Here is a 20,519-nt window from a genome sequence, read left to right on the forward strand (position 1 = left end):
CCCCAACCCCCACCCTCCTACTACCCTCCATTCCCTCCCAGCCCCTGGCAACCACCATCCTATTTTCCACCTCTATGAGTTTGACGACTCCAGGGACCTCATGTAAGGAGAATCATCCAGGATTTATCATTTTGTGTCTGGCTTATTTCACTGAGCATAATGTCCTCAAGGTTCGTCCACGTTGTAACGTGTCAGAACGTCCTTCCCCTCTAAGGCTGTTATTCCACTGTATGGATGGGACACATTTTGTTTATCCGTTCATCTGTTGATGGACATTTGGCTGGTTTCACCATTTGGCTATTGTGCGTAGTGCTGCTGTGAACATTGGTGTACATCTCTTTGAGTCCCTACTCATAATTTTTTTGGGTATATTCCCAGACATGGGATTGCTGGATCATGTGTAATTGTATGTTTAATTTTTTTTGAGACAGAGTTTTGCTCTACCACCCATGCTGGAGTGCAGTGGCGTGATCTCGGCTCACCACATCCTCTGCCTCCTGGGTTCAAGCGGTTCTGCCTCAGCCTCCCGAGTAGCTGGAATTACAGGCGCATGCCACCACACCTGGCTAATCTTTGTGTTTTTAATGGAGATGGGGGTTTCACCATGTTCGCCAGGCTGGTCTCGAACTCCTGACCTCAGATGATCCACCTGCCTTGGCCTCCCAAAGTGCTGGGATTACAGGCGTGAACCACCACGCCCAGCCAGCATGTTTAATTTTTTGAGGAACTGCCACACTGTTCTCTGTAGTGGCTATACCATTTTATGTTCCTACCAACAGTGTATAAGGATTTCAGTTTCTCCATATCCTCAATAACACTTGTTATTTTCTGATTTTTTGATAATAGCCATCCTAATGTCTACTAATATTTACTAATCCTAATATTTTTTTTTTGCAAAAAATGATATTTTGATAGGGATTGTGGTTTTGGTTTGCATTTCCCTAATGATTAGTGATGTTGAGCATCTTTTCATGTGCTTCTTGGCCATTTGTCTGTCTTTGGAGAAATGTTTATTCAAGTCCTGTGCCCTTTTCCTTTTCCTCTCTCTCTCTCTTTTTTTTTTTTTTTAATGCTTTTTAGTATATTCATACTTTATCTATTTTAAATTGGGTTGTTTTTCTTTTTGCACTTGGAGATCCTGTTTTCCCAGAGCTATTTGTTGAAAAGACCATCCTTTTCCCATTGAGTAGTTTGGCACCCTTGTTGAAAATCACTTGACCATATATGTGACAGTTTATTTCTGGGCTTTCTATTCTATTCCATTGGTCTTTTTTTTTTTTTTTTTTTTTTTTTTTTTTTTTTTTTTTTTAGACAGAGTCTTGCTCTGTCTCTCAGGCTGGAGTGCAGTGGTGCAATCTTGGCTCACTGCAACCTCCTCCTCCCGGGTTCAAAGCGATTCTCCTGCCTTAGCCTCTTGAGTAGCTGGGATTACAGGTGCCCATCACCACACTCAGCTAATTTTTGTATTTTTAGTAGAGATGGGGTTTCACCATGTTGGCCAGGCTAGTCTTGAACTCTTGACCTCAGATGATCCCCCCCGCCTTGGCCTCCCGAAGTGTTGGGATTATAGGCGTGAGCCACCACATCTGGCCCCATTGGTCTTTATGTTTCTCTTTATGCCAGTATCACACTCTTTTGATTACTGTAGCTTTGTAGTTAAGTTTTGAGATCAAGAAGTGTGAGTCTTCCAATTTTGTTATTCTTTTTCAATATTGTCTTGGCTATTTGAGGTTTTTTGAGATTCTGTATGGATTTTAGGGTGGATTTTTTTCTATTTCTGCGAAAAAGGATATTTTGATAGGGATTGTGGTTTTGGTTTGCATTTCCCTAATGATTAGTGCTGTTGAGCATCTTTTCATGTGCTTATTGGCCATTTGTCTTTGGAGAAATGTTTATTCAAGTCCTTTGCCCTTGTTTTTTAGCGCTTTTTAGTACATTCACATTTTGACTATTTTTAAATTGGGTTGTTTTTCTTTTTGTTGGTGGGTTGTAAGAGTTCTTTATATAGTCTACATATTGATCCCTTATCATCTATATGATTCGCAAATATTTTCTCTCATTCCGTGGGAATGGGGCCTTTTCACTCTGTTGATTACGTCTTTTGATGCACAAGTGTTTTTAATTTTGGCAGCATCCAATTTATGTATTTTTTCTTTTGTTGCCTGTGCTTTTGGTGTCCGATCCAAGAAATTATTGCCAACTCCAGTGTATGAAGCTTTTCCTCTGTTTTCTTCCAAGAGTTTTATAGTTTTAGTATATATAGTTTTAGCTTTTATGGTTTTAGTTATAGAGTTACAGTTTTAGTTTTTTACTTTTATAGTTTTAGCTTTAGATCTTTGATCCGTCTTGAGTTAATTTTTGTATATGGTGTTAGATCAGGGCACAGCTTCATTCTTTTGCATATGGAGATCTTGTTTTTCCAGAGCCGTTTTGTTGAAAAGACTGTCCCTTCCCCGTTGAATGGTTTGGCACCCTTGTTGAAAATCACTTGACCATATATGTGAGGGTTTATTTCTGGGCTTTTATTCTATTCCATTGGTCTTGATGTTTGTCTTTATGTCAGTACCACACTGTTTTGATTACTGTAGCTTTGTAGTTAAGTTTTGAAATAACAAAGTGTGAGTCCTCCAATTTTGTTATTTTTCAAGATTGTCTTGTCTATTTCAGATTCCTTGAGATCCCATATGGATTTTAGGGTGGATTTTTTTCTATTTCTTCAGGAAATGGTATTTTGGTAGGGATTGCATTGAATCTAGACTGTTTTGGGTAGTATTGCCACCTCTGAAATATTAAGTTGTGGCCGGGCACAGTGGTTCACGCCTGTAATCCCACCACTTTGGGAGGCCAAGGCAGGAGGATCACTTGAGCCCAGGAGTTCAAGACCAGGCAGAGCAACGTAGTCAGATCCTGTCTCTATTTAAAACAACAACAACAAAAAGAAGTCACACTCTCCTCCTCCCAGCTATGTGACCCTGGGCAAGCCCATAATTGGCCCCTGCCTCAGTTTCCCCATCTGTAAGATGTGCCATGAAGGGGGCTAACTCTGTCAATGCATGAACAGTCCTCAGGACTGTAGCTTGCACAGGTAGTGCTCCATGAAGGCAGCCATGTCTCCTGGGAGGGCTGCCTGGAGGAGGAGAGCTCTGCAGTGGGACATTAGGGGTGAGGTCCGAGTTGCCGGTGCAAGAGGTGGGTAGGGAAGGGAAGGCTCTTTGGGTGGAGGAGAAACAGCATATATGGGGCCCAGAGGCCTACAGGAGGCAGGGAAGGAGGAAGGAGAGAGGAGACCCAGATCTGGAAAGGCCCAAGAGCCAAGCTGGAGAGCTTGGACGTGATCCCACAGCCAGCTATGGGGTGGGGAGGGGTGACCCAGGATCAGCTTTGAGCTTTAAGAAAGGCTAGAGAAAAGGTGGTGGGGTTGGAGAGGAGAACAGGGAAGGGAGTTGTGGGTTCTGGAGGGGCTCAGGAACTGCAGAGGAGAGGTGAACCCAGGGTGCCCGAGAGAGGAACGGGGCCACCCCGGGTTTCTGGCTTCTGTATCAGCATCAGGAAGATCATGGCACTGTCTGCCAGGGCCAGGTGAATTGGGCACGTTGGCTGGGGGAATCGGGACCATGACGAGCCTGGTGAGGGGCTGCTGGGCTGGAGGAGTCTCCTGGGGCATCACAGGGAATGTTCTGGAAGCAGGGCTGGGGCGGCACTTGGGAGTTAGCTGACAGTAAGGAGTGACGTGAGAAACACAGAGGCCAAGTCCTCGGGGAGCCAAGTTTGAGAGGCAGACGGAGCGTGGGGACCGAGGTCAGGGCTCCTGTGGGGCCGGCCTGGCCCTTCCCTTCCCACCGCCGTTCGGGACCCTGTGGTATCTTCCGTGGGCACTGGCCCTGCTCCCAGCTGAGCGGTGCCCAGAAGCAGGAGGACCCTGGTTTCCTGCCCCTACTCAGCCACCCTGCCCACGCCGTGGCAAGCCCAGAGCTGTGCTCAGTTCAGGCAGCCGTGTGGCCACCCTGGTGACTCCTCCCTGCCGCTCCCTGCTGTCCTGTCCTCCGTGGGGTGCTGTCTCTAGGCCCGGGAGGAAGGCTGAGGGGAAGGCCTCATGGGTGCAGTGGGTAAATGTCCACCCGGTACCTCCTCTGAGCCCGCATGGTGCTCGGAGGTGCAGGGTCCCAGGGCTGTTTCTGGAGCAGCAGGTGCCAGGCATGGCATGGGAGGGGCCTTGTGGAGCCCAGAGTCGCAGGTGCACCTGGCAGTGGGCAGAGCAGCTGCAGAGGCTTGGTGTTGGCAGGGTGCACATGAGGAGGTGGTAGCCAAGGGGACAGGGCCTCCCAGCCTGGTGCCCGCAGCCTCCCTCACACAGGGACCACCTTTCCCCTCACCTGGCCCCTCATCCTCTGTCCTGATGTCCCCTCATGGTGCCTTTTTATGCCCACCTTGCCCCCACACGTAACCCTCAGGCAGTGGGAGAAGGGCTGCAGCAGGGGGGTGTGGCTCCTGGTGCAGGGGACAGGCCAGGTGGCAGGAGCCAGGACAGCTTCAGAGGGAGAAGCCTCCAGGCCCAAAATGGGGCCTAGACAGGAAGGAGGGAGCGGGCAGGTTAAGAAGGGCAGTATCTGCATGGGGCTGAGAGGGAGCAGAGAGGGCATCTGAGGGTGGCTGGGGGCTGTGTCTGAGCAAGGCCATGGATGGGAGTTGGGATGAGCCTCTGTACCTGCGGACACCCCTGCTGAGGTCCTCTGGGAAGCCGGCAGTGCACCTAGGACTCCACCTGGGGGAGATGGGTCCCGTCTGCCCTGGGCGGGCTTCCTCATGCTGGGACCCCAGCCTGGAACGCAGCCAGGATCAGGAGCCCTAAAGTTAGGACCTGAGGGCTCCGAGGGCTGAGGCCGGGGACAGCTGCCTGGCGTTCCCTGCCGTGGATGGGCTGCTGCTCCCATGTTGCCTGCCCTGCCCTGGCCCATCAGTCCTGCCTCCTCCAGCAGCGGTGACTTTGCCACAGGGAGGACAGCTCAGGTCACTCCTGGTTAAATCCTTCCAGCGGCTTCTCGTCCCACCCAGGATGGGGTCCCACAAAGCTCAGCTCTCTTGAGGCTCTGAGCCCAGCACCCGCCCCCCCACACTTCTTTGCCCACCCTGGCTTCCTTGGCGAGCCACTGTCATGGTCACTCTGTGACCCCAGGGCCTTTGTGCTCACGGGGCCTCCTGCCTGGAGTGCTCTTCCCAGCTCCAGCGTCACCTCCTTGGCCACCTTCCCCCCACCCCATTTCCAGCTTGTTTTCTGCACAGCCCCACTCACTCGGAAGTCTCCCACTTCCTTCCTCCATCTACCCACCCAGCTGCCCGGCCCATGCCCATCTGAGCCAGCACAGCTTGTCCTGGGCCAGCAAGGACTTGTGGCTTCCCCTGCTGTGGACTCCCCGTTCCTCGACGTCCCTCCCTGGCCTCCCGTCCTACTGCCTGGGGGCAGTGTCTGGCCAGCAGATCCTTCTTGAAAGGGACCATCCCTCTGGGTGAGCTGGACATGCAGGGTTTTCTGGGGCTGCTGGAGGGGGTGGGAGCCAGGAGCCAGTGTGAGTCGGCGGCCGGCCGGGCTCCTGGCTGTGTTGAGCTGTTCCCTCCCATGGGGGCTTTGGGTCAGAGGGTAGCGAGGGTCACACTCTCAGGCACCCTTGACTGTTTATTTTTTACATTTATTTTTTATTTATTATTTATTTATTTTTTGAGACAGAGTCTCACTCTTTCACCCAAGCTGGAGTGCAATGGCTTGATCTCGGCTCACTGCAACCTCCGCCTCCTGGGTTCAAGTGATTCTCCTGCCTCAGCCTCCCCAGTAGCTGGGATTACAGGCACCCGCCACTGTGCCCGGCTAATTTTTGTATTTTAGTAGAGATGGGGTTTGGGTTTTGCCATGTTGCCCAGGCTGGTCTCGAACTCCTGACCTCAAGCGATCCACAGCCTTGGCCTCCCAAAGTGCTGGGATTACAGGTGTGAACCACCGCGCCCGGCCTCACCCTTGACTGTTTAGGAAGCCCATGCCCAGGCTTGGCCAGTCACCCCTCTTTCTTCACCCTGTCCCACCCCACAGTGCCCCCTCCCCAGGGCTTTGTAGGCCTCCAGCTGATGGGGAGTCTGCTGTGGCCAGGGCTGCTAACAGTTAACTGCTGGATGAGCTGCAGTAAATTTCCTTGGGGTTTTGGCTCAGGGTGAGACCCGCATTCCCAGCTTTGCTTGGCCACATGCGGCATCCTAGCACTGAACCTTCCCGTCCCAGGTGGCCTGCTTCTCGGGGAGGGGCCTGGGAGGACTTCTTGTTTGGGAGTCGGGGAGCCATCCTTCCCTCCAGGCCTTGGGTCAGCTCAGCCCACACAGCTGCTGACCCAGAGTGAGGGGCAGTGGGACGCGTTGGCCTTGGCGGCCCCGGGGCCGCTTTGAAGGGGAGCATGAGGGCACCGATCCTGCGCCTCTGTGCCTGGGCCGGGCGGGAGCTGGGGATGCATCCATCGCCTGCCAGGAATCCGGGCCCTGAGTTGTCGGCACTTCCAGCGTTTCAGGAGAAGCCAAGCAATTCTGATGTTTAAGTTAACTTAAAAGAAAAAAAAAGTAAAAGTTGGCCACCAGTTTGCATTTTTAAAAAAATGCTTCTCAGACCTCAGGAAGGCCACAGCTGCGGCCGGCCACGCTCCTGCTCCTGCCTGCCAGGTTACAGGCTCTGACGTGGGCCTGAGGGCCTCTGGGCTGTAGTGGGTGGGGCGGCCGTGCTGGTCCTGGGGTGGGTGCCGGGCAGTTCCGCCCATTCCCGGCTGCGTTGGGAGGGGGTGTGTGATAGCCAAGAAGCTTGATGCCAAGGGTCTTGGATCAGCAGCTGACGTCCTCTTCCTTATACACATGTGGGACCGTGGTGGCTTCCTGGTTAGATGGCACTAGGGTGGTCTACTTTGGGCCCCTCCACCCACCCCCACACTGCCAGAACCTTGGGTATACTTTTTATTTCTCCTTTATACTTTTTTCACTGAGATAAAACACATATAACATAAAAATTAGCCTTTATTTAATTTTTTGAGACAGGGTCTTGCTCTGTTGCCCAGGCTGGAGTGCAGTAGTTCTATCCCAGCAGCCTCAACATCCAGGCTCAAGTGATCCTATCACCTCAGCCTCCCAAGTAGCTGGGATTACAGGCGTGTGCCACCATGGCCAGCTAATTTTTAAAATTTTTTTGTGGAGATGGGTCTCACTATATTGCCCAGGCTGGTCTGAAACTCCTTCCTGGGCTCAAGCCGTCCTCCTGCCTCAGCCTCCCAAAGTGCTGGAATTAGAAGCATGAGCCACTGTGCCTGGCCCAGTTAGACGTTTGTTTGTTTGTTTGTTTTTGAGACAGGAGCTCACTCCGTTGCCCAGGCTGGAGTTCAGTGGCATGATGTTGGTTCACTGTAGCCTCCACCTCCCGGGTTTAAGTGATTCTCCCACCTCAGCCTTCCTGGTAGTGAGATTACAGGCGCCCACCACCACACCCAGCTAATTTTTTTGTATTTTTAGTAGAGATAGGGTTTCACCATGTTGGCCAGGCTGGTCTAGAACTCCTGACCTCAGGTAATCCGCCTGCCGTGGCCTCCCAAAGTGCTGGGATTATAGGCATGAGCCACCATACCCAGCCCTAATTAGCCATGTTAAAGTGTGCAATTTAGTGGCATTTAGTACCTTCTCAATATTGTACAGTGAACACCTCTGCCTGGCTCCAGAACATTTCATCCTCCCAAAAAGAGAATCCCCTTAGCCGGGTGCAGTTGCCCATTCCTATAATCCCAACGCTTTGGGAGGCCAAGGCGGGCAGATCGCTCGAGGTCAGGAGTTTGAGACCAGCCTGGCCAACATGGCAAAACTCTGTCTCTACTAAAAATACAAAAATTAGCTGGGCATGGTGGCATACGGCTGTAATCCCAGCTACCTGGGAGGCTGAGGCAGGAGAATGGCTTGAACCCGGGAGGTAGAGGCTACAGTGAGCCGAGATCGTGCCACTGCACTCCAGGCTGGGTGACGGAGCAAGACTGTCTCAAAAAAAAAAAAAAAGACCCCACCCCCTATCCCCATCAGCAGTTACTCCCCGTTCCCCTCCCCAGCCCCTGGCAGCCAGCAGTCTGCTTCCTGTCTCTATGGATTTGCCTGTTCTGGACATTTCAGATCAATGGAATCTCACACTATGTGGCGTTTTGTGTCTGGCCTCTCTCACTCAGCATCGTGTCTTCAGGCTTCTTCCACGTCGTAGCATGGATGAGTGCCTCATTCCTTTCCATGGCTGAATAGCATTCTGCTGTATGGATGGAGCACATCTGGCTGAAGCACATTCTGCTGTATGGATGGAGCACATTCTGTTCAGCCACTTGTCTGTTGATGGGCATTTGGCCTGTTTCCACCTTTTGGCTGTTATGAACAGAGCTGCATGGACATGTGTGTTGCAGGGTTTGTGTGGACACTGTCTTCAGTTCTCTTGGATCTATACTGAGGACTGGAATTGCGGGATCCTGCAGTGACTCTGGGTTTAACTGTTTGAGTAGTGGCCGGGCTGTCTTCCCGGAGTAGACCAGTTTTCTAAGCTCCTTTTCCTTGTTCTCTGCTGTGCCCCTTCTGTGGGAGCTGAGGCCCTGCACCCTTAGGCGTCCTCCTCGTGCCCCTCCTCCCTCCAATGTTACTGGGCCTGTTGTTGGGGTCTGTAGTGTTTCTGTATGGCTCTGCAGAGGCCAGGCTCACCGCCGGTTGGCCTTAGCTCAAGGTCCAGGTTCGTGTTGGCTGGGATTCCTGCCCAGGTCCATTTGGAATATTCCACTTGCGCGTGAAGCAAAGGCCCAAGTATATGAAGTGGCGTGCCCAGGCACAGAGCCCCTTTCTGTACACCCAGCTGCACGCGCGGGGAGGAGCTGACATCCCAAAAGGCCACGCAGAGGTGGGAGCTGGAGGACACAGCCCTGCAGTATCTGCTGGGGTGAGCCCTGCACCACTGGCAGCCCGCTCCCCAGCCTGGTGGGTAGGGCTGTTTTGGGAGGGCCTGCAAGTGTGGAAACCTACACTAAAAATAGCAGCCACATGCCTCCTGTGGGCGGCCCACGCTCACCTCTCCTGGCACCCTAGCGTGCCCGGAAGCAGCAGGGTGGGAGGGCACACCAGGCCCCACACAAGCCCATACTGTCCTTACACGTATGCATGAGGCTGGGTGAGCCATGCACACCCAAGGCCACCCTCCACAGCCCTGTATCCCATGCTAGGGTTTGGGGTGCCCCAGAAATCAGGAATCAGAATAGCTCCATTTGCAGGAAGACATCACAGCACACATGCAGCCATGATGCAGCTTCCCCAGTGGGTCCAGGCGGGCGCACTCCATCCACCTGCTATTCGGTTTGCAACAAAACTAACACTCTTTTTTTTTTTGAGACGGAGTCTTGCTCTGTCACCTAGGCTGGAGTACGGTGGTGTGATCTTGGCTCACTGCAACCTCCGCCTCCTGGGTTCAAGCAATTCTCCTGCCTCAGCCTCCTGAGTAGCTGGGATTACAGGTGTGCACCACCACGCCCAGCTAATTTTTGTATTTTTAGTAGAGAGCGGGTTTCACCATGTTGGCCAGGCTGGTCTCGAACTCCTGACCTCGTGATCCGCCTGCTTTGGCCTCCCAAAGTGCTGGGATTACAGGTGTGAGCCACCACACTCGGCCTAAAACTAATGCTCATTAAACAGACAAGGGCAGCTTCCCGTCCACTGGTCAGATGTGGCTACTGGCCAGCTTGTGCTGTGATCCCCAGAAAGGTCTCTCCAGAGCATTCTCATTTCAGCATGGCAGGTTAGGGATTGAGGTGTCGTTCTCACCCCCAAATGTTGATGACCCCCGGGGAACCTCCAACCCTGTGGCCACATCCTGCTGTCTGCACCCTGAATATTTGGGCCTATATGCTCCCTTGCCCTCCCTCAGCCCTTTGGAGGGCCTCTCCTGCCCCCACTGGGCTCTGGGGCCTGCAGTTCCCAGCCTGGGCTTCGGGAAGGATTTCCGTGCCTGTTCAGGGACCTTTCAAGCACAGTTTTTATTATTGTCCTGGGGCTGCCACTACAAATGACCACAAAATCTGGTGGTTTAAGAAACAGAAATGTATACTCTCCCAGCTCTGGAGGCCAGAAGTCCAAGATCAAGGTGTGGGCAAGGTTGACTATCTGTAGAAGCCTCTAGGGGCGGATCCCTCCTGCCTCTGGGGGCTCCCGGAGCTCCTTGGCTTGTAGCCGCATCACTCCAGTCTCTGCCTGTCTTCACATGGCCTGTGTGTCTGCATCTCTTTCCCCTTCTCCTCTCTTTTTTTTCATTTGAGACAGAGACTCGCTTTGCCACCCAGGCTGGAGTGCAGTGGTGCGATCTCGGCTCACTGCAACCTCCACCTCCCAGGTTCAAGCAATTCTCCTGCCTTAGTCTCCCAAGTAGCTGGGATTACAGGTGCACGACACCACGCCTGGCTAATACCCCTTCTCTTCTCTTCTAAAGGCCCTTGCCATTGGATTAGGGCCCACCCTACTCCAACATGACTTTAACTCAATTACAGCTGCAAATACCTTATTTCCAAGTAAGTTCCCATTCCAGGTGCCAGGGGTCAGGACTTGGACATACTTTTCTGGGAGTACGTCCCACAACAGAAAGTAAGTACTGTGGTGCAGGCCCCATGCCCAGCAGGGAGCTGCAGCCTCCCCTCAGCCACCTGTGGCCCCGGGGACGGGCCTGTCCTCCCCTCTTCCCCTGCTTCTCAGTGTGTGGACATCATGATGCTTTTGCTTTCGTCATTTGTGTGATTGCATCTTGGAACCAAGTGCTGTTTGCACGTGCAGGTGGGCTCCCAGGCAGGGGGTCTCTCTGAGTTGGCCTGTTTGGAGGTTTGTCCCAGCCAAGGGGCCCACCTGGCTGAACCCACCCTGCTCAGGGCTGCATCCTGTTTCCCTGTTGACTTTGCTGCAGCCCACGCTCCTTCCTGCCACTGCTTGTGGTTGGCTGCTGTTTGGAGCTGTCCCCGGCATTCCTGCACCCGAAGCCTGGGACAGGTGTACGCTTATGTGCTGGCAGCGGTTGGCGGGGGGGGTGTCGCCAAAGAGCGGGGATGCTGAGAATGGTCCCCTTGCTGGGCTGCAGGTGGGGAGGGATGCCTCCGGGATTCCCAGAGTCACTGGTGGCATGTGCCCCCCGCTGCCCTGCCCAGTGCCCCGCCCTGGGGACCCTGTAGTGAGTGCAGCAGCCACAGCCCACCCTTGTTGGGGGCTGTGGTCTTAGGGTGGGGACATCAGCCTGAGGGTCATTATTGGAGGTGGGGCCAGAATGTGGCTCCCGAATGACTCTTTTTTTTTTTTTGAGACGCAATCTTGCTCTGTCACCCAGGCTGGAGTGCAGTGGCACGATCTCAGCTCACTGCAGTCTCCACCTCCCAGGTTCAAGCAGTTCTCTGCCTCAGCCTCCCAAGTAGCTGGGATTACAGGCGTCTGCCACCACACCCAGCTAATTTTTGTATTTTTAGTAGAGATGGGGTTTCACCATGTTGGCCAGGCTGGTCTCAAACTCCTGACCTCATGATCCACCCACCTTGGCCTCCCAAAGTGCTGGGATTACAGGTGTGAGCAACTGTGCCTGGCCGGCTCCTGCATGACTCTTAGCCCAGGTGCAGCCCAGCAAGCATTAGCGTGTGGAGAGCCCAGCGGGCATTAGTGTGTGGAGAGGGCATGGCTAGTATAGGGGCTAGCGAGTAGAGCATGCTGTGTCGTCTTTCCTGTAGAGCTGGAGTGACCTGCTCAGGTGGGAAGTTTGGAGAGACTCCAGCTGAGTGGTTTGGGCGCTGCAGGGTTAACTTGAGACCCCAGTAGGAGGCTTCTGTATTTGTCCAGGCAAGAGAAGATGTGGCTTGGGCCAGAATGAGGACAGAAGAGGCGAGAGGGCAGAAGAGGTGCTGGGACATGGGGGAGCCAGGTGGGGCATGGGGGGTTCCTAAGGAAGGGACAGGTTTGGGCAGTTGTGAATGTGCTCGTGTGTGTGCAAGTGAGTGGGAGCTGGCGTGCAGGCAGGACAGGAGTGCAGGCAGGACAGGAGTGTGAGCATGTGTGTGTGCGTGTGAGCATATGTGCATGCACGTGCATGAATGTGTTTATGTGACTATGTGCATTGCTGTGAGTGTGCACACATGTGGCTGGGTGCATGTGTGTGAACACGTGTGATGTCTGTACAGCCTCCCTGGTGGGTGACTGGCGCTGGGCTGGAGACATGAGTTTGGGGAGCTTTGAGTGAGGGGTGATGGTGGCACTCCCAGGGTGGGGCTGAGAGGGGGCTGCTGGGCTTGGGAGTGGAGGGCCCAGGGGAAGTCTTTCCCCTAGCACCCTCTCCCAGGGTCTTCAGGCTGTGTGGGAGCCAGGACTGGGTCTGTCTCCTTGTGGCCTCTGTCCTTGGTGCAGTAATGACCACTGGGTAGTGGCCCTTGGGGTCAAGGGCATCCCTGGAGCCCTTGCCATAGATGCTGAGCTGGAGCAGGGCTGCCACCCCATACTGTTCAGGGGCCAGTCCCTCCCCTCTGGAGCTGATCACCCCAAACACTGTCCCCTCAGAAGGGTCGTAGTGCTCACTCACAGGAGCCTGTGTTTCTGCCTGTGTGTGGGGCACTGGGGCCCAGAGAGGCAGACACAGATGCGTGCAGCCACCAGCTTGGATGCAGGACCCCTGGGCTCAAACACTGCCTTCCAGTCTCAGCCTACAGTGAGTATGGGCGGGGCTGGAGGATGCAGCTCAGAGAGGAGGGTGCAGGGTTCCGGGGTGGGCCAAATGCCGGGTGGGAGCAGAGCAGGGCCGCAGGGACATGGGAGGGCCTCTCGCAGGACGGTTTCTCATGCCAGCCCTGGTCAAGGCAGCAGTGGTTTCCAGACACGGGGGTGCGTGTGTGAGGCAGGAACAGTACAAGCAGAGGGCCCCTGGGGAGAAGGCCTTTGACAGCAGGAAGAGGACCTGGCAGTAGGGACAGGAGTGAGGGAGAAGAAAAAGACAGCAGGGCCTGGGCAGCCCCGTCACGGGGCTGGCTTTGAATCTTACTTATCTATTGTTGAGGTGAACACCACATAACATAAGATTCACCATCTGAAAGTGAACAGTTCCATGGCGTTTGGCGCATTCACAGTATTGTGCAGGCATCACAGCTATCTAGTTCCAGAACATTCTCATCATCCAAAGGAGACCTTGTCCCCATTAGCAGTCCCTCCCCTCCTCTCCTCCCCAGCCCCTGGCAGTTACTAATCTGCTTCCTGTCTCTGTGGATTTGCCTGTTCTGAGCATTTCAGATCGATGGAATCTCACACCCTGTGGCCTTCTGTACCTGGCTTCTCTCACTCAGCATCACATGTTCAGTTTCATCCACATTGTAGCATGGGTCAGTGCTTCCTTCCTTTTTTGTTGTTCCTCTTGAGACAGGGTCTCACTCTGTCACCCAGGCTGGAGTGCAGTGGTACGATCACAGCTCACTGCAGCCTCCACCTCTTGGGCTCTGTCCAACCTCCCACCTCTGCCTCTCGAATAGCTGAAATTATTGGTGTGCACCACCATGCATGCCTGGCTAATTTTTTTTTTTTTTTTTTAGAAACAGGGTTTCACCATATTGGCCAGGCTGCTCTCAAACTCCTGGCCTCAAGGGATCTTCCCTCCTCCGCCTCCCAAAGTGCTGGGATTACAAGTGTGAGCCACCGTGCCCAGCCTTCATTCCTTTTCATGGCTGAATCTTATTCCACTGTATGGACAGACCAGTCTTATTCATTCATCCCTTGGCACACACGTGGGTTTTCCCACCTTTTGGCTGTTGTCCATTGTGCTGGTACACACACTCATGTATGATTGTCTTCATTTCGTGGGGGCATCCGTCCAGGAGTGGGATTGCTTGGTCATAACAGCAGCTCAGCATGTCACTTGTTGAGGAACCGCCATACAGATTGGGGGTTTATTTTAAATAGGATGGAAGCCTACTGGTGTGTTTAAAACGGGAGCATAACACGATTTGAACTGAATGAATAAAGAGAAGAAAATGAAGGAGTCTCGGCAGCCACTTGCAGAGGGAGCAGGGAGGCCTGGGAGGAGGTCACGTGGGTGTCTGGGTGCGAGATGACACGGGCTAGTACCAGGGAGGGGGCTGACGATGGGCCCTGGAAGTCGAGCTGCTGGGAAGTGATCATGGGAGTGATGAGGCAGGCAGAGGAAAGGGACACCTCCAGCCTCTGTCCCTGCTTCTTCTACCCTGGCGGGCGCAGCCTCCAACTAGTGACCCCTCCTCTGGGCTTGGTCCTTCCCTGCATCGTGTGTGTCTGCTGGGCACTCCAAATGTGGTGCCTGGCCCCGCTAGCCCAGAATGCGGCCTGAAGATGGTGAGACAGGCAAGGGCTAACCCCACCGGGTCCCCAGGGCCTGCAGCAGGTGCCACCTGGGGCCTGGCTAGGAGTTCAGGGGCCTGGGTGAAGCCTTTGGGACAGGGCTGTGAGGGCACTCAAGGGGTACCAGGTGGGCCCCGGCAGGCCCAGGATCTGGCCTTCCAAATCACAAAATGACTTTTGGTGTTATGTAACTCCATAGTCAAGCTATGTCTAAAAAATGGAGCATAAAAGCTATTTTGGGCCCATGGTAATGAGGGCATCTCGCCTTTGTCTTAGCCGTCCTGGGGGGAGGCAGCGTCGAAAGAGCTGCTCAGAGAGGCGGGTTCAGCCCAGACCCCAAGCAAGCCCTGTGTCAGCAGGCAGATGCCGTTTTCAAAAATCATTTGTTCCGCCTCGACCGGAGGTGGCTCCTGGCAGATCGCCCCGCGGTGCTCAGAATCCCAGAGGCCTGCGGGCGGCTGACCCGGGGCGAGCAGGGCTGGGCCTCCTCTGCCGTGTCTGGGATCTGACTTCCCTGAGGTTAGGTCCGGCACCTGTCAGAAACCAGGCCTGACATTTTCAAGATGGGCACAGGCCCGCTCCGGGAAGGCCCCAGGCCCGTCCATGTGGGCAGCGTCGGCGTCGGGCTTCTTGCCTGGGACCCAGGGGCCGCTCTTGGGGAGGGAGACCCTGTTTCAAGTGGCCAGCATCCCCGCCAGTGGTTTGCATTATTCAATTGGTGATAAGATTTAAAATTAAACTGCAAAGGATCTGTTCCCCCAGCTACAAATAGACGTGTGCTTGCACATTCCAGAACACAAGTGTGCACCAAGAGATGTGTTTTGAGTCAAGGTGGAGAAAAAGTGAGTTTTTTTGTTTTGTTTTGTTTTGTTTTTGAGATGGAGTCTCACTGTCTCCCAGGCTGAAGTGTAGTGACGCGATCTCGTGTCACTGCAACCTCTGCTTCCCTGGTTCAAGCAATTCTCCTGCCTCAGCCTCCCGAGTAGCTGGGATTACAGATGTGAGCCACCACACCTGACTAACTTTTGTATTTTCTTTCTTTCTTTCTTTTTCTTTTTTTTGAGACAGTCTCGCTCTGTCACCCAGGCTGGAGTGCAGTGGCATGATCTCGGCTCACTGCAAGCTCCGCCTTCCGGGTTCACGCCATTCTCCTGCCTCAGCCTCCCGAGTAACTGGGACTACAGTCGCCTGCCACCACGCCCGGCTAATTTTTAGTGTTTTTTTTTTTTTTTTTTTTTTAGCAGAGATGGGGTTTCACCATGTTAGTCAGGATGGTCTTGATCTCCTGACCTTGTGATCCGCCCGCCTCGGCCTCCCAGAGTGCTGGGATAACAGGCGTGAGCCACCACGCCCGGCCTAACTTTGGTACTTTCAGTAGAGACGGGGTTTCATCATGTTGGCCAGGCTGATCTCGAACTCCTGACCTCAAGAGATCCACCCACCTTGACCTCCCAAAGTACTGGGATTGCAGGTGTGAGCTGCTGCACCCGGCTGAGTTTTGGAATTCCCTCTCTTTCTCTCTGCTCATGTACACTATGTGCACGCATGCATGGGGCCCTCTCTGCCCGAGTACACTGCCTGCACACATGCGTGGGGCCTTAGTCCTTCCTTTCCTGTTGGTGGCTGTAACAAATGACCACAAACTGGGTATCTTAAAACAATAGAAATGTATTCAGTGCAGGTGTCGGCAGGGCTGGTGCCTGCAGGAGGCTCTAGGGGAGGATCCTTCCTGCCTCCTCCAGCTTCAGTGGCTCTAGGCGCTCTTTGCATCACTCCAGTCTCTGCCTTCATTGTCATGTGGACACCTCCTCTCACTGTGTCTCTTCTCATCTTCTGAGGATGCTAGTCATTGGATTTAAGGCATACCCTACTCCAGTTCAACCTCTGTTTTTTTTTTTTTTTTGAGACGGAGTCTCGCTCTGTCGTCCAGGCTGGAGGGCAGTGGCGCGATCTCGGCTCACTGCAAGCTCCGCCTCCTGGGTTCACGCCATTCTCCTGCCTCAGCCTCCCGAGTAGCTGGGACTTCAGGCGCCCGCCACCATGCCCGGCTAATTTTTTGTATTTTCGGTAGAGACGGGGTTTCACAGTGTTAGCCAGGATGGTCTCGATTTCCTGACCTTGTGATCCACCCACCTTGGCCTCCCAAAGTGCTGGGATTACAGGCATGAGCCACCACACCCGGCCTTTTTTTTTTTTTTTTTTTTTAAACAAGGTCTTGCTCTGTCGCCCAGGCTGGAGTGCAGAGGCACAATCATAGCTCACTTCAACCTCTGCCTCCTGGGGTCAAGCGATCCTCCCACCTCAGCCTCCTGAGTAGCTGGAACTACAGGCGTGATCCACCATGCCCAGCTAATTTTTGTATTTTTAGTAGAGACGGGGTCTTGCTATGTTGCCCAGGCTGGTTTCAAACTCCTGAGCTCAAGCAATCCACCTGCCTCAGTCTCCCAAAGTGTTGGGATTATAGGCGTGAGCCATGCACCTGGCCTCGACCTGCAAAGACTCTCTCCAAATACAGTCACATTCATAGATGGCGGGGTTAGGACATGGCTATGTGTTTCCAGGGGACACAGGCAACCCACAGCAGACATTCTGCCAAGTCCATCATCACTGGCCCTTACTGAGGTCCCCCAGCCTCCTCTGGGTCTGCCCAGGAGGTGCTGTGACGTACTTCACCCCATGATCCAGCACATGGGAGTACCTAGGTCACCGTGCAGCCGGGGTCTCAGCAGAGGCCGGAGTCTGCCCTGAGTCACCAGAGGCTGTGGGTTTTGGGGATATGCACCAGAGACCCCCACACCTATGCATCCGCTGACTAAGTTCCAGATGAGATTCATCCCAGCCTTGCTGCCATCCTGCCATGGGGAGCTTGCAGCCCTGAATGGGAGACGAGAAAACATGCCAAGCAGTTATCAACTTGTCTGGGGCCCCTTGGCTGGGGAGAGGAGACCTGGGGTGTGGACGCAGGCCACAGGCATGCCAGGTGCCTCCCAGCTGGCTTCAGAGATGCTGGGGGAGTGGATTGGAGAGTATCCCCCAGACATATGCGCCCATGTCCTAAGTCCTGGAACGTGTGACTCTGGCCTTATGTGGAAAAAAGGTCTTTGGGGGTGTGATGAAGTGAAAGACCTTGAGATGAGATCGTCTTGGATTTAGGATTGGCCCCGAATCCCATGACTGGTGTCCTTATTTAAAGAGGAGAAGACACAGGCACACAGCGAGAAGGCCACGTGATGAAGGAGGCAGAGACCAGAGTGATGCGGCCACAAGCCAAGGAGGCCAAGGACTGCTGACGGCCACCAGTTTTTGAATGGACATGATGTTCACATAACATGAAATTAAGCATTTTAGAGCATGCCGTGGTGGCGTGTAGCACACTCCCAGTGCTGTGCAACCTTCCCTTCTGTCTGCGCCCAGAACATTTCCATCTCCCCAGAGGGAGACCTCACCCCGCAGGTAGTCACTCCCCATTTCCACTCCCAGCCCCAGGCAACCACTAATCTGTCTCTGTGGCTTTGCCTATTCTGGATATTTCATATCAATGAAAATCTGACACCATGTGGCCTTTTATGTCTGGCTTCTGTCACTCAGCATCGTGTTTTCGAGGTTTGTCCATGCTGTAGCATGGATCAGTGCTACAGTCTTTTTTTTTTGAGACAGGGTCTTGCTCTCTTGCCCAGGCTGGAGTGCAGAGGTGCAATCTCGGCTCACTACATCCTCTGCCTCCTGGGTTCAAGCGATTCTTCTGCCTCAGCCTCCCAAGTACCTGGGATTACAGGCATGGGGCACCACTCCTGGCTAATTTTTGTATTTTTGGTAGAGATGGGGTTTCACCATGTTGGCCAGGCTGGTCTCAAACTCCTGACCTCAAGTGATCCACCTGCCACAGCCTCCCAAAGTGCTGGGATTACAGGCCTGAGCCACTGTAATTGCCCGGCCTACAATCATATTTTGTTGTACGGATGGACCACATTTTGTTTATCCATTTATTTGGTGGGTTTTGTCTTTCGGATGTTGTTAACCGTCCACCTACCGTTTGTAAGTTTGTTGACATCTTATCTCCAATCTCCCCATGGGGAGAGACGGAGACCTGTCTCTTCCCATCTGCCTTAGCATCCTTGCTTCTGAAGACAGCTCTCAGGAAGTAGCAGGGCGTGAGGAAGGGATGAAGGGTGGGTGTCTGTGTCACCACAGCCCAGAGGTGCGGAGCCACGTGGTGTCTCCATGCTGTGGCTTAAAGTGTTGGAAGTTTGTGGCCAAGGCCAGTTCACCGGGGACCCCAGGTCCAGTATGGGTTTCCTAACGGTGGGCTTGCGTCACATTAGATAAAAGACCTGAGAGAGAACTCTGGAGGGCAAGGGGGCATCTGGTTGGTATTTCTGCCTGATTGCCATTTGTCTGGGGCCTGGAGAGGGAGCCTTAGCTATGTGTTTCGATGTGGTCAGATGGCCTGTGGGCAACAGGGCAGTTGCCCTGCAGGGACACTGGTCTCAGATGGAGTGAGACAGCCCCTGCGTCGACCCACCTTGCTGCCTGTGCCAGCTCCACAGCAGCCTCGTCAGTGTGGGGCACATTGCACACGCCACCGTCATCTCAGTTGTCCCCGTGCGCTTGGAGCCTCCGGGAGGGAGGATGCACGTTGGCGTGTTAATGGCGATGGCATTCCACCGTCACCCCAGGCAGAAGCAGACACTGTATGCTGCACTTATGAGACATGTGAAACCTCCCTGCACAGAACAGAGCATCCCACATATGTGGTCATGGGAGTTGAGAGAGCGACACCGTGAGCCCAGGCTTGTTCCCTGGGCTCCAGGCGGGAACCGGCGGGGCGGACAGGCTCCTCGGCAGCATCGACACGGCTCCCTCGTCCCCTCTGCAGATGGTGAGGCCCCAGGAGGGAGCAGTGACAGCTGATCAGTCTGTGGGGTGGGGTGTGTGGGTGCGTGGGGTGTTGTTCTCTGCACTCGCTAGGAGTCAATTTCATTTTCATCTTAGAGGTGATGGGTTGTTGCTGTGTGTGGGGGGATTCCATGATGAGCTGGCTCTAGGATCAAGGGACCTGGGGTGTTCAGGTTCTCAGCCCTGCCCTGGAAGGGGAGACAGCAGCACCTATTGGGACTGGGGGGCCATGTGTGAGTTTCTGGTGGCTGCTGTAATATATTAAAGTACTACACCTGGGCTGCTTAGAACAAGAATGTCTTCTCTCATGGTTCTAGAGCCTGGAAGTCTAAAATCCAGGTGTCGGCAGGGCCGAGCTTCCTCTGGAGGCTCTGGGGAGGAATCTTTCCTGCCTCTTCCAGCTTTCAGTGGCTCCAGCCGTTCCTTGGCTTGTGGCTGCATCGCCCCAATCCCGGCCGTCCCCCTCTGCATCTGTGTCTCATCTTCTGTCTCTTAAAAGGGCAGCAGTCACCCGATGTAGGGTCCTCCCGGCTAATCTAGGATGATTTCTTCATCCCAAGATCCTTCCCTTAATTATGTCTGAAAAGACTGTTTTTTCAAATAAGGTCATACTCTCAGGTTCCAGGGATGAGGAGGTGGATATAACCTTTTGGGGACACCGTGAATTCACTCCCCAGTAGCTGAGCTGACCTGCATCGAGCGCTTGGGATCTGCCTCTCACCCTCTTGGTTGCCTTGGCAGTTCCCTAAGGCCTCTGACCCTGTCACCCCCTGCCCAGCTTCCCTCAGCACACTGGCCCCACCCAGGAGCGCTCCTGTTGGTCCGTCCCTTGGACCCGCCTGGAGCTGGGGGGTGTCCCCTTTGTCCTGAGTACACACCCAGGAGACCCCTGTATGCTTCACCTTGGGGAGCTCAGTATCTTTTCTTCATAGCACTCTAGGCCAGCGTCCCTGTGCGAGACCCCCTTGCTCCCTAGTGCCCCTGCCTGGCCCCTCATGGCAATGCTGAGGGGGAGGCCTCCTGTGACCTCTGACCTCTGCAGGCCTCTGCACCTCCAGCCCCTTCTCTCCCCCAGCTCGGGCCTGAGGCCAGCACCCCTTAGGTGGCTTGATCCATCTCAGTTGTCCCTCCCTGTGGCCTCCAGGGAGCCCCTGTCCAGCTCCCAGAATCCTTGCTCTCTGTCATCGCTTGGTTTCTGGGTTCCTGCCTGTCTCTATCCTGGAGAGGAG

General features: G+C 54.0%; 1 protein-coding gene across 2 annotated transcripts in view, besides 1 other annotated feature; it reads left to right on the plus strand.

Moving 5' to 3' along the window:
- CRTC1 (CREB regulated transcription coactivator 1) overlaps nucleotides 1-20,519 on the plus strand; it is a 98,654-nt gene that overhangs the window by 21,235 nt on the left and 56,900 nt on the right. The window lies entirely within an intron of this gene.
- Nucleotides 4,896-5,890: an enhancer, noted in NCBI's record as "H3K4me1 hESC enhancer chr19:18820620-18821614 (GRCh37/hg19 assembly coordinates)". NCBI's record gives its function as "activates a minimal SCP1, AML or CMV promoter by ChIP-STARR-seq in primed H9 embryonic stem cells {active_cell/tissue: H9 hESC(primed)}" and the evidence as "EXISTENCE:reporter gene assay evidence [ECO:0000049][PMID:30033119]".

Source organism: Homo sapiens, chromosome 19 (genome assembly GCF_000001405.40).
Source record: "Homo sapiens chromosome 19, GRCh38.p14 Primary Assembly".
In the NCBI taxonomy this organism is placed as follows: domain Eukaryota; kingdom Metazoa; phylum Chordata; class Mammalia; order Primates; family Hominidae; genus Homo; species Homo sapiens.